Here is a 13,088-nt window from a genome sequence, read left to right on the forward strand (position 1 = left end):
GACTGGCACTCTATCCTGTCTAGTATCCTGATTAATTAGAGATCAGCAATAGTAGCTAAGGCAAAAATCTGGAAGTCCTCAAGCGTACAAAGCTGTAGTTTGTGCCTATCTGTTAATTGTACATAATATGAGCTTGAAAGTTTGGGCTTTAATGTTACAAGTTCCTCTTTATGTCTGAGAATAGGTGGCAAGAAGCTTGAGTTCTCCTGTAAGGCAGGGTTAAGCTTAAATTCTGGCTCTATTATTTGTTAATCATGAAACTATGGACAAGTTACTTAACTTCCCTGTGCCTCAGTTTTTTCTTCTGCAAAATGGAGATGATCATTATAGTGGTACCTACCTCACAGATTGTCAGGATCAAAGGAGATAATGCATGCAAAGTACTTAGTGTATATAGAGTGCTCAACAGGCCAGGTGCAATGGTTCACACCTGTAATCCCAACACTTTGGCAAGGCCAAGGCAGGAGGATCACTTGAGCCCAGGAGTTCAAGACCAGCCTGAGTAACATAAAGAGACCTTGTCTATATAAAAAATAAAAATAAACAAATTAGCTGGGCTTGATGGCATGTACCTGGTCCCAGTCACTTGGGAGGCTGAGGTGGGAGGATCCCTTGAGCCAGGGATGTTGAGGCTGCAATGATCTGCGATCGAGCCACTACACTCCAGCCTAGGTGACAGAACGAGACCTTGTCTCAAAAAAAAAAAGAAAAAAAAGAAAGAAACAAAAGAAAAGAAAAGGGCTCAACAAATAATAGCTATCCATTGTCTCTTTTTGCCCTACCCCCACTACTCCTATGAGAATGAAACACCAGGGGAAATGAATAGGATTCTTTCTCTCACAATAGATGAATGGTTCATAAAGCTGACAAATGCTCTGATGAACCCAGGAATAAGGATCAGGGTGTTCTGGGGCTAAGAGTAAGAAGGTGAGTATGCCAACACATGGCTCCAAGTAGCAAGCAAGCTTAGTGCCAAAGACAGCCAGCTGGGTCTTTAAGCCCCAAGTTACCCCAGCAAAGAGCTACACTCCAGTTAGCTATTAGCTTTTATTTACTCAAAAACATCCACAGGTGAATTCAGCAGTTTAAGTCCCCCTTAAACTCAGTTTATTTTTTCTGTTCCCAACATCTCCTAGGCATCCTCCGAGAGCAGGTTCTCTGCTCAATTCCACAATGGTATGGAAATGAGTCACCACCACACACATGTTCAGCCCAACTGGAGCCTTTTGTCAGTAAGTCAACTAGGCACCCTTCAGGCTCCATGACTTATTCTTCTATTGGGAAGAAGGAAAACAGACAATAATATCAATAATACGTTGTCCCCAAGTCAGGCCTCCAAAACACTGAATTAGAGAGAAAGGACAAGGGAAAAATGAAGTGGAGGAAGAGAGTAGTGGAGTGGGGGAGATATAATTGGGGAGCACTGGAGATGCTCCCACCTCAGTGGAAGTAATCAAGGATGTAAAAATCCCTTGGCCCAGGCATACAGGCCCTCAAGTGTTTGTTGATGGGGAATCTGAAGGTCAATGAGACAGAGTCATCTCTGATGGATAACTACTCAGAATTCTTCTCAATGCTTGTGTCCAAAGAATCAGAGGGATGGCAGACCACACAAGCTTTGAGGATCAAAAGGTAGGTTTCCTTGAACTTCTTTATTTTATAGGCATAGACGATAGGGTTCATCATGGAGTTGGCATGGGACAGCAGGATGCCCATGTACAGCACAAGCTGTGGTACCTCACCATTAAAGTAGATGATGCAGTTGATGATAGATAAAGGCAGCCATGACAGAGCAAACAAGAAAAGAACCAGAAACAAGGACTTAGCCGTCTTGAACTCCCGTCCATAAAATGCACCTGTCTCTTTGGAGTTAGATAAGTTCAGACTGAGTTTGTTCCGAATGATGTAAAAGATGTCAAGATAGATGGCGCACATGACAACCAGGGGGATGAAAATCCAGGTGAGGAAGCTGAAGTATACCATGTAGTCCATTCTCATGACGGAAACAAATTGGCATGAAAGGAAGGTGACATTTCTGTGGTACTCTGAGGTCAGTTTCATGTTCCAGCCAAACATGGGGGTCAATCCCACCAGGAATGACACCAGCCAGCAAAGGCCCAGGGCCAGCCATATTCTTCTGTGAGTGGTGACCCTCTTGTATCTGTGTGAATGAAGAGAGTCAGTGAGTCCACAGCAGTAATTGCTAAAGGGTAGGGGAGATGGAGCTGGTAAAGGAGAGAGAGAGAGGTGAGATAAGGCATATACTCTCTTAATTCTCCAATCTTCTGCTAAGAGAGGGCAGCATTGATATCCTATGGTGATTCCAGCTAAACTCCACTGGATACGAAGACAAGATGAGCAGACAACGATTGGAGAAAAATCCAGGAAACTTCTCTGGGGACTTTTCTAAAGAAGAAAACTCTTGAATGGATAAGGAGGATGTTGCCTAGAGTCAAGTGCTTACGTGCTCCACTCAGGGCTCCACTTACTGAGAGCTATACAACTGTTACCTATCTTTTCTTTTTCTTTTTTTTTTTAACTCAAAAACATCCACAGGTGAATTCAGCAGTTTAAGTCCCCCTTGAACTCAGTTTACTCCTTCTGTTCCCAATAAGGTGTAAGCCTAAGAATTATTCAGTTCCTGGGAGCTGAGATTCATCTAAGTCTCCTAGGATTGTCTGCCTGGTGAGAAATGATATTCTCAAAGCAAGCTTGCCTGCTGTTCTTGGCACTGTTCTGTTTGGCTGTTGTGCAGATTCTCATAAATTATACTATGCCTCCCCGACACTTCCCCTCTACCTGTGCCTGCTCCTGCTTCTCTATCTTCATGGGCATCCATACTTGGTATTTGAGTTAAATGAATCAATGAAGTTACAAAATTGTATTGAAGTGTTTCAGAGACCTTAAAGGACAGTAAGAGTAAGAGTCCCCATTGCTCCTTAAACTGTCCTTCCTGACAGCAGCCTATACAGACCACAAAAAGGAAACAAATATAGTTAAGTATCAGTAGATTTTTATCTCAATTAAATCTCACAACAAACAGGAGATATTTTATTATAACCTCAATTTTATTGATGGCAATTGTGAAAATAATAGTAATGATAGCCACCATTTATTGAGCACAGACTGTGTGACAGGTATGTTTCTAAAAGCTTTACATATGTTAACGCATTTCATTTTATGAGGATAGTGCAATTATCCCCATTTTGTAGATTAAAAAGTGAAACACAAACAAGTAACTTCTACAAGTTAGAAGTGGTGGGGCTAAAACTAAAACAAGGTAAGTCTGAGTTCCGAGCATCGTAACCACTGTGATACAGAGTGGAAACCAAAGGAGATAAAGTTAAACAACTTGTTCAAGATCAGATCTCTAATCTGGGATTTGAACCTAGACTGTCTACATCTAAAGCTTGTTTGTAGCTCCCTCACTCTGCTCTTTCCTCCAGAGAAGTGACGAGAAACACGAGACCAATGCAATTTAGGTCACCCGGGGAAGTAGATTTCTCCATTTGGCAGTTCGTTCTATTCATATGGTCACATGTAATGAAGAATATTTTTACGAAAAAAGCTCTCACATCTCAGGAGGAGGAGGAAAAATATACATATATATAGGATATATATATTTATTATATTATATATAGGATATATATTTAATATAATAAATATATAGGATATATATATTATAATAAATATATATAGGAGATATATATTTAATATAATAAATATATAGGATATATATTTAATATAATAAATATATAGGATATATATTTATTATAATAAATATATAGGATATATATATTATAATAAATATATAGGATATATATTTATTATAATGAATATATAGGATATATTTATTATAATAAATATATAGGATATATATTCATTATAATAAATATATAGGATATATATTCATTATAATGAATATATATAGGATACATATATTTATTATAATGAATATATATAGGATACATATATTTATTATAATGAATATATATAGGATACATATATTTATTATAGTGAATATATATAGGATACATATATTTATTATAATGAATATATATAGGATACATATATTTATTATAATAAATATATATATATTGGAATATATATATATTCCAAGAATCCCTTTCTCAACATTGAAGTAGGCACAGAATAGGAAGCAAAGATAAAATAATAACCTACATTTGCAAAACAACAGAACCATCAGTTTATCTCCTCTTATGTTTATCTGCCTGCTTCTCCTAAAATAATAAGTCTTATCTAGTAGGCTTTTATCATTTCTAAAACTGAAGAGCATTTTTTACTAATTAAAGATGCATCAAGATTTCATCATTTTTAGCCAAGGATTAGTAATTACAGCTGGAGGGATTGAGCACCCACCCCTAGTCAGTGGAGAAAGGATTGGAGCATTCCTCTGATTCTAGCTCCTGAGTCCCAGCCCATTGTTGCTAACCCCCTCACAGACCATATCACAAAAAGACACTTATTGCCCTCTTTCAACATCAAGGGCCAATTTGGATACATTTTTACTCAAAAAGTCTGGGCTCTGGGCTTTGTAGCCTCATTTCCCAGCTGCCTCAATTGCTGCCCACCCCACGCCGCAGGCTACCTGACGGTAAGCTTGACCCGCAAGTATCGGTCCACAGCGATGGCCAGCAAGGACATGATGGAGGCGTGGGTAAAGATAAGCAGTAGGCAAGTCATAAAAAGGCAGCTGTAGAAGTGGATTGTGATGCCCAGGCTGACAACAATGGCCAAAGGCATGACCAGCACCCCAACAGCAATGTCAGCCAGGGCTAGAGAGACAATGAAATAGAAGGTGGTGGTCTGCAGGCTGGGGTTCAGCTTGACCACGCAGATGACCAGCACGTTGCCCACTATGGCGCAGAGTCCAATGAAAATTTCCATGGTGATGTAGGTAACATTGGCCAATGACAGAGCAGTGCTGTTGTTGGGCATCTTGCCTTCCCAGGGGAACCTCCACAGGGACAGGTGAGCCAGCAAGATCCGTCTGTAGGGCCAGTGGGCCTAGCTCTCGCCAGACGTCTTCCCAGAGGTCCATGTGCAGTGACAGTCTAAAATTCCCAACTTGCTCATTCCTACCCTTTTCTGGTGGGGTGATCTCTTGGAAACCCTTCTCCTTAGAAAGGGCTCATCACAGGTGGGTCACTTCCAGCCCCTTTATGCACCGCACATCCTCAAGTTTCCAGAATGCTGTAGGACAGCTCTATATGGACTGAATCTGAAAGTGCTGCTGCTCTTAGTTCCCCAAACAGATGTCCTCAACGCCTCTGCCTGCAGCTTTTTGGCTTTTTGAGTTCCATCAAGATAAGCAACCCTCTTCAGGGGTGTTTCAGGAAGTGAGATGGGCCAAGAGGAAGTACAGAGCTCAGAACTCTCAGCAAAAAGATGGAAAGAGCAGAAGAGGAGCCATGAGTGGCATAGAGAAGGCTCGAGACAAGATTGGGTATCAGAGTTCATTCATTCAGGGACCAGAGGACAGTGCAGGATCAGGTGGGAGCAGAGCTGGAAGCACTGACTATGCAATCTTTCTGCCAGCTTAGCAAAAAGATCTCATGATAAGGAGGCAAACGGGAGAAGCAGAGGAACAAAAAAGAGACTTTGGTGGCAGCCTCCTAACCTTAGCCAGAACTATTCCTGCTAAGTTCTTGCACGAGTTGACGCTTTGCTGAGCACAGCCGATACCCAGCCTTTGCAGCAAAGATCCTTGGTCAAAGGGATAAGCAAAGATTCCCTGCTCAGAAGGGCAAAAACTCAGCACCTCTGAGAAGCATCACACCTGCTTAGCCTCCACCTCTCTTTCTCAGCTCACACCCTAGCAAAATCACACTGGCACTTATGCTGGCAGCCGGCCAATGTCCAACCTATGTGAGGAACGACAGAATAGCAGAATGACCAGACATACAGAAAGAAGGGAAAAGAACGTGTGCAACAGAATCAAATGGCATATCCTCCTGCCCACATTCCCCAAGCCTCAGCCCCATCCCCGCAGGAACAGGCGACTGTCTGGGAATCAGCCCCCTCTCCCTGAAGCTGCTTACCTAGTCACCAACTTCTGGGAACCAGACACTTGCACGCCATTGTTATTTGGGGACCCACTTGGTTCAGGTGCTTCTCAGCACCATCCAAAGGGATTATTTTAACCAGGCGTGTTAGAGAGGCAGCAAGAAGGAACACTTGGACCCAAACCCACACAGTGGCTTGAGGGCTTTATCATTTTTACCTTAAGCATCTAAATATGTACAGCCCAAAATAAAATTCAGCAGTAACAACAATGGCGTTCTGGTGTTTACTAACAAACACTTCAGAGTGGGGCATAAGGGAGACGCCTCTGCCTGGGGCTCATCAGGGTCCTCTTGTTAGTTGATCTGCTCTGGCATCATTCATTGATTCCACTCCCGACCCCCACCCTGTATCCCAAGTTGATCCAAGTCTTACCAAATCCCATACTTGTCCCCGCCAGACTTGTCATTTCTCCCTGAGCAGACTCCCCAGACATTAAAAAGGGCAGTCCTCTCCAACTGAATTTCCATCATTCTAGTATTTTCCAATGTCAGTTCTGCCCACATCCCTGCACTGCTGGAACTTGAAAAGCTTCATCGGCCTCCAATGTGTCCCTCATAAATGTTTCTACTGTAATTGTTTTCTTTATCTGTGCTTCAGAGAAGGAAGTTACCAAGAGAAATTTCTAGGAGGCAGCACTCTGCCAAAAAAAAAAAAAAAAAAAAAAAAGAAGCCTTTCTCACTATATAGCACTCTTTGAACCTTAGTTAAATACTGCAAAAAACCCTCCCTCCCCTACCCCAGTACATAGGTGAGTTCTTTTGGAATCAGTCCATCTCAGCTGGGTCAGAGAAACCAAGGAAAGGGGTTTGTGTCCAAACACAGCATGCTGTAGGCAAGATACCACATGAAAGAATAACCCACTAGAGAGAATAAAGGCAGGAGACACACTTAGGGTCACCAGCCCAGCCACCTCTGCCCATCTGGGAATTCTACCCTCAGAATTCTCTGCACATACCATGGGGGTTTCTTTTCTGTGAACAAGAGAAGCCCTTCCTTCATGTTCTCTGAATAGACAAGGTCCATCAGTGCTGGGTGGGGTGATTTGAGAACAGAGGAGAAGGACTTTCACAGTCACTTAACATTTTGGCCTGGAACCTGACCGTAGATTGAAAACCAAAAGGCAATCTGGGAAAGAGGACAGAGAGGCTGGGGCAGAAGGTCACTTCATTTGCCCATTCCTACCGCTGCACCCACAGCCCATGGCGCACAGCCACTCTTGGTCATGTGCCTCATCACATCTCAAGTAGGAGATGCTGCAGCCTCCTACTCGGTGCCTCAGGCAACCAGAGGAACCACGCCAGAGCTCCATGCCCAGGATGACCCCTGCCCCTTCTAAACCATTTGGTCTGCACATTGCCTTAGGATCAAGTCCAGACTCCTTAGAGTGGCTTATACCCTTCTGATGGGTCTCCCAGCCTCTGCAGTCTCCTGTCACCTGGGTCCGCACAGACACCATTGGCTGCACCAGACTGAGCAACTCGTGGCTCAGAGTCATTCTCTTTCACTTCCTCTCCCCTGTGCACACACTCTTTGTCTGGTTTGCAGGGCCCTTCTCCCCCAAGTCCATCTAGAAAACAAATACTTTTCCTCCAAGACTGTTACCCAACAGGACCTTGAAGAAAACTTCCCAGTCTTCACCTCTCCTCTGGGACCACACTGTGCTGTGTGTATATGACTTCCCCGCTTAGCCTGTAAGTTCCTGGAGGACAGGGACCACCACTTTCCATTTCTGCATTTCTCGCCCCTACTATGATGCCTGGCAGATCATGGGTGCTCAGTACATTTTTGATGAATGAATAGGAAAGCACTTCAGTGAATCAGGTGGCATAAACTAGGCATTGGGTATATAAGGAAACAATAAATCAGCGAGGACTCTTAAGTGCTCTGCATCATACCAACTACTCAGTGTTAAGCAGCTTCTATTCACAGACTCATTCAATGCTCTCGAATGAAATAGATACTACCATTATGCTGAGCAAGTTGAGACTCTGCGGGGTTAAATAACTTGCCCAAAGTTGTAAGCTAGGCAGTGGCGAAGCCAGCATTCAAACCCAGGCTTCTGCTTCGGAGCCCAGGTTCCGAATGGCAGCCCTCAGTAAGTAAATGAGCAAATAAACTCTACAAACCTTTCAAAAGTACAAGGAGTCCCTGGGTTTGATGTTGCCATGCTATCAAAATCAGTAGAGATCAGTATTCTCAGATCTAAAAAAGAAAGTAGCCACCAAGACTATGGGCACAAAGCACAAGTATAATGTAGATTTGGCAACTGCTCTGAGCTAGGAAGAGATGGCAGGACCAGAGAGATGACTGCATGAGCAGGTCGCTGGTAAGGCTGGGGCCCCAAGGTGAGCTCTGGGCCAGAAAGGAAACCATTTTTATTGGATCAAGGTACAATTTTTTTCTTAAAAACAAAAAATATATATATATATATTATATATATATATACACACACACACATATATATACACACACATATATATATACACACACACACATATACATATATATACATATATACACACACATATGTGTGTGTGTGTGTGTGTGTGTGTGTGTGTATATATATATATATATATATGTTAACTGTAGTTAACTGTGGTTCAGGAGAATTTCCCACCTAAAAGAAAGGCCATGGCTGTTTTCAATTTTACTAGAAGAGGCTGGGTGTGGTGGCTCAGCCTGCAACCTTAGCACTTTGGGAGGCTGAGGTGAGAGGATTGCTTGAGGCCAGGAGCTCAAGACCAACCTGGCCAACATACTGAGACCCCACCTCTATTTTTTTTTTAATTAAAAATAAATTTTAAAATTCTACTAAAAGAACCTGAACTCCATCAGGGAAGCAAAGATCTAGGAGAAACCATTGGCTTAAATCACAGGAAGAGTGACTGGAGGGGAAAGGCCTCACCTGTCCCAAACCCTGGCCTGGGGCCTACTTGGGTCTGATGCCACTGGGCACAGCTCAACCACAAGGCTGCAACCTTGCCCTTGGGGTTCCGCTTAATAATCTGAGAGGCTGGCAGCAGAGATGATTCATCTGATCCTTTGCAGCTTCTCAGAAAACCCTAAAAAACCCCAGTTGCCAGCCTACAAAAACAGCAAGATGCAGTGTTAGCAGGAGCCCAGGGAAAAGGCCTCTGGAGCCCTAGAGCTGGTCCACGGGCAGCTAAGACCGGATGTCAGGCAGGCGAAAGGTGGGGCTTCTGCCCAAGGCTGTCTCCCACCCCACGGCTGTCTGCAGAGTTGCACAAAATCAGCTTGCTCACTTCCTCTTGGCCCCATCACCACTTCCCCAAAGCCTTACATTTTTATAGAGCTTCATGTTTGCTAGCCGACAGCTGAGGCTTAGAAAAGACAAGTGCTCAGGGTCAGCCCTGAAGGTGGCGCTTCCTAGGCCCCTCCCCCACCACTCTCCGGGCTCTGCCTCTCCATCAAGCCCCGGGGGTCAGGCTGGGCTTTCCCGCGCCGGGGGCTGATCTGGAGCCTCTGTCCACACGGGCCTTCTAACCAGGGCCCAGCCACTGAGGCCAATCCAAGGAGCCCAAGACTCACAGGCTGTAGTCTGAGCACAAGGAGTTTCACTCCATGCCAGTGTTGGTGGGAGGGAGGGTGAGGCCTGGAAAGGGAGGTCAAGGTTCCTTCACTCTGAGCAACAGGAAATCCTGCCCCACGAAGGGGAGCTGCTCTGGGCGCTCAGCCTCACCCACCAGACCCCCCCACCCACACCGAGTGTGTCAGGAGGTCTCCAGGCCCTGGGGGAAAGAGAAGGGTTCAGCTAACTGAACTCAAGGCACTCAGAAAGTGAGGAAGCGTTTCAGCTGCCGGAGACTTAGCACGGTAGCGTCAGCTTCAAGTGTCTGAAAGAGTGACTCCTGCGTCCCAGCTGAGGCGCTATGCTCAATGGTGGCCACCAGAGGGAAGCACGTTTCTGTTGTCACTCGGGACCCAGGCTGCTGCCGAGAAAGAAAACGGGAAGAACTTGAAACGCTCCTTTGAAACTGCTTAACCAGCAACCTCAGATGGTGCAGAAAATGAAAGAAGTGAGAATCAAGGGAAGGCAAAGGGGTCGAGAATAGGTAGCCAACTGCCTGAAGTCAATCCAATCCCATAGAATATTCCTGGGCAGTACCAAATTCAGTCCTCCTGACTCCAGAAGGTTGAGAAGCAGCTTTGCCTTTCAAACCTGTGACTGTTCCAATAAACACAGTATTTGTGTTTTGCTTTGTCATGTGCAAAGCTCCTCCCACAATCAACTTTACTGAATTAACTCAACAACCCCACAAGGCAGGTATCATCAATCTCATCAGAATGAATGACCTGCTCAGGATCATACACCGCCAGGCGCGGTGGCTCATGCCTGTAATCTCAGCACTTTGGGAGGCCGAGGCGGGCGGATCACGAGGTCAGGCGTTCTAGACCAGCGTGACCAACGTGGTGAAACCCCGTCTCGACTAAAAATACAAAAATTAGCTGGGCGTGGTGGCGGGCGCCTGTAATCCCAGCTACGCAGGAGGCTGAGGCAGGAGAATTGCTTGAACCCGGGAGGCGGAGGTTGCAGTGAGGTGAGATCGCACCACTGCACTCCAGCCTGGGCGACAGAGCGAGACTCCGTCTCAAACAAACAAACAAACAAAAGCAGCACCAGGATGGGAGCCCAGCTCCTGGTCTCCTCGCTTAAGATGAGAATGGGGAAGACCAGGAGGGATTTGCCAGTAGGGGGTTGCAGTGGAATTTTTAGCCACCTACGTCATTGATCCTTCCCTTGGCACCTGTCAACCTCTGACCTATCCTTCCCCTCTTGTGAGCTCAGGTCCCACTGGTCAATTTTCCCAGCCTTTGCTGGAGAGCTTCCAAGATTTCTCCAAATGCCCTCATGTCTCTTGGCCACCCAGCCTCCTCTTTATCACAGTCCTAGGCTTCTGGGTGCTCAGGCCGGGTGTCCCCACCCCTATCACAGTGGTAGGGCCTCATCCCTTGATTTCACCCAGGAAGACTTTGGATCCCGGTGTTGATTCTCATGCCCTTTATCTAAACACCGGGAGGCGTAGGAATGAGTTCTGGATATACCAACTACTGATCCCAAATGTTTACAGTAGGGCAATGTCCTGGTCTCCTTCTTTTAACCTGCTACCTACCAAATGGGACAAAACTTCTTACGGAATTGCATGCAAACCTTACCGCCACAGTGGGAGATAAGCAACCTTCTGATTTTGATGGCATGTGTCTTCCCCTCCTACTGCACAAGGTCATTTCGTAATTATTACTGTAAGAGCTGCCATTGATAAAATGCCAATTCACATGTGCCAGGCACTATGCCAGGTGTTTTGCATACATCACTCACAATTCTATATCAGTCCTGCTGGGAAGTATTATTAGATCCATTTCACAGATAGAAAACTAAGGCTAGGAGAGAATTGACTCACTCTGGGCAGCACAGCAGCAAATGGCAGAGCTAGGGCCTGAACCCAAGTCTATCTTGGCTGCAAAGCCCTGGCTCTTTCAATGAGCCACACAAAAACAGTCCAATATCAATTATGCCAAAACCCAAATTGCCATTTTGGGCAGACATTCTTCAGTATCCTAATGGGTAGACTTGCTTCCTAGGCTGGGCCAGATATTGAAGGCTGTGCATTCTGTGTCAATTGTCTACTCTCCAGCTCCTGTCAAAGCTCAGCCAAGAGTTTTATTCCAGGCCCATGGAGAGCAGCCAACAGGCCCTTCCTCTACACTCCCTACCCGCAACTCCTGCATCTACTCCCTGATCAGACAACAGCACTGCAAAACCGTTTTACTTTAGTTCCCTGCTGAAATGTCTTCCCAGATGACCTTAGTCCCTCTGCTTTGTATGAAAGGTTAATATAAAAAAACTGTACTATGAAGTATGTCTCGGTGTTTCATCATGATCGAAAATACTATCTGTTGCTATGTCTCTTACATAAAGTTTCATAGGATAAATTTCTCTGAGGAGTTTTAGTGCTAGAAAAGAGGTCGTTTTTCTTAATAAACTAGACTGCCTTGTTCATCTGGTTAGTGGCAGAGCTTTGTCCCATTCATTTGTGTGTGAGCAGCCAGGAGTGTCAGAGCCGATGTTCGGTCTCGGTAATCACACTTGGCTTAGGTTTTCTAGGATGCCTTTGTGCCCCATATCATTCCTTGGCTACCGGTGTTTTAATAATTCTGTCAGGCCCTGTTTTTCATGAGGAGCTGCACATCATTTTTGGCAGTGTGCAAGGTATAAGAAATGACTCCATAGAACTCACATTAGAAGGAGTACGCGTTTATTTTCAGGCATATTGCAGGTTGATTGGTCCAGTCTGTCATGCAGGGATACCTGTCACTACCCCCATGATTTGGGGGTGAGGATTTTTTTCTCCCACAAGTGGTCCAAAATGACATTTTCGATGATCAATTTTGGCAAAAGAGAAAAAACTGATGAGACTGAAAATGTCCCCTCATTTGAAGTGAGTCTTTTAATACAGCACTCACGGGCACCCACATCCAGCAATATTTAGGAAATGCTTCCTTAGGAATCGCACTGGGTAAACCATAATGCTATCATTCCCCCAGGAAGAATGTATTTTTATTGATGTGCACCCCACCTATTTCCACAAAGTACTGAAGTTACTGTCAGGCTGAGTTGATGGCTTCTTCCTCTACACGCCCACATCGCTTTACACATTCCTCTCTTGGAGCACTTACTACACTATTCTGTAGTTATTTATTTACATGACTGCTTCTCCCGCTAGCTGGTAAACTCCTTAAATGTAGAAATTATGTCTTATTCATTTTTATGTCTTCCTCCCACTTCCCTTCTCCCCAAAGCATGAAGATCCTAAAATATACCTGCCACAGAAGAAACCTGCAATAAATTCCAGTTGAATGTATTATGTAGTACTCTCAGGTCTGTCTTCTCCTTCCCTGTAAGAATGCTGGCTATACCACTCTATGTCCAGTGAGGAATCAGAAGGGATATTTGGAAGACCTCTTCCTCAACAAAAAGTAGG

At 44.7% G+C, this 13,088-nt stretch overlaps 2 protein-coding genes across 6 annotated transcripts in view, besides 2 other annotated features; both read right to left on the reverse strand.

Annotated features, from left to right (window-relative positions):
• Positions 1–13,088, reverse strand: part of TMIGD3 (transmembrane and immunoglobulin domain containing 3) — an 80,615-nt gene that overhangs the window by 15,048 nt on the left and 52,479 nt on the right. The window contains exon 1 of one of the 3 annotated variants that reach the window (NM_020683.7): positions 4,610–5,238. The exons of the other annotated variants lie outside the window; for them this stretch is intronic. Within the exon in view, the coding sequence (NP_065734.5) occupies positions 4,610–4,959 (350 nt within the window). The 5' untranslated portion in view covers positions 4,960–5,238. Of the gene's footprint in view, positions 1–4,609; positions 5,239–13,088 lie in introns of those variants that run through there. 3 annotated transcript variants of the gene reach the window in all.
• On the reverse strand, positions 1,034–5,238 carry ADORA3 (adenosine A3 receptor). 3 transcript variants are annotated; one of them, NM_001302679.2, is made up of 2 exons: positions 5,104–5,238; positions 1,034–2,161 (listed from the first exon to the last, which is right to left on the reverse strand). In NM_001302679.2, exon 2 carries the CDS (start codon positions 2,074–2,076, stop codon positions 1,555–1,557), a length of 522 nt encoding a protein of 173 aa, NP_001289608.1. In that variant the 5' UTR covers positions 2,077–2,161; positions 5,104–5,238; the 3' UTR covers positions 1,034–1,554. The 3 variants fall into 3 exon arrangements, with proteins under 3 accessions (NP_001289608.1, NP_000668.1, NP_001289607.1); NM_000677.4 differs by having other exon boundaries at positions 4,610–5,238; NM_001302678.2 differs by having other exon boundaries at positions 1,034–2,225; positions 4,610–5,238.
• Positions 7,669–7,738: an enhancer, noted in NCBI's record as "active region_1498". NCBI's record gives its function as "activates an Ori minimal core promoter by ATAC-STARR-seq in GM12878 lymphoblastoid cells {active_cell/tissue: GM12878}" and the evidence as "EXISTENCE:reporter gene assay evidence [ECO:0000049][PMID:35858748]".
• Positions 9,332–9,411: an enhancer, noted in NCBI's record as "active region_1499". NCBI's record gives its function as "activates an Ori minimal core promoter by ATAC-STARR-seq in GM12878 lymphoblastoid cells {active_cell/tissue: GM12878}" and the evidence as "EXISTENCE:reporter gene assay evidence [ECO:0000049][PMID:35858748]".

This window comes from Homo sapiens, chromosome 1 (genome assembly GCF_000001405.40).
Source record: "Homo sapiens chromosome 1, GRCh38.p14 Primary Assembly".
Classification (NCBI taxonomy): Eukaryota; Metazoa; Chordata; class Mammalia; order Primates; family Hominidae; genus Homo; species Homo sapiens.

Excerpts from the sequence above, each read along its gene's own strand:
- ADORA3 (NM_000677.4), bottom strand. The coding sequence starts at position 4,959 with ATGCCCAACAACAGCACTGCTCTGTCATTGGCCAATGTTACCTACATC. Across the intron at positions 2,162-4,609 it reads CGGGTCAAGCTTACCGTCAG|ATACAAGAGGGTCACCACTC; the intron begins GTAGCCTGCGGC and ends TCATTCACACAG.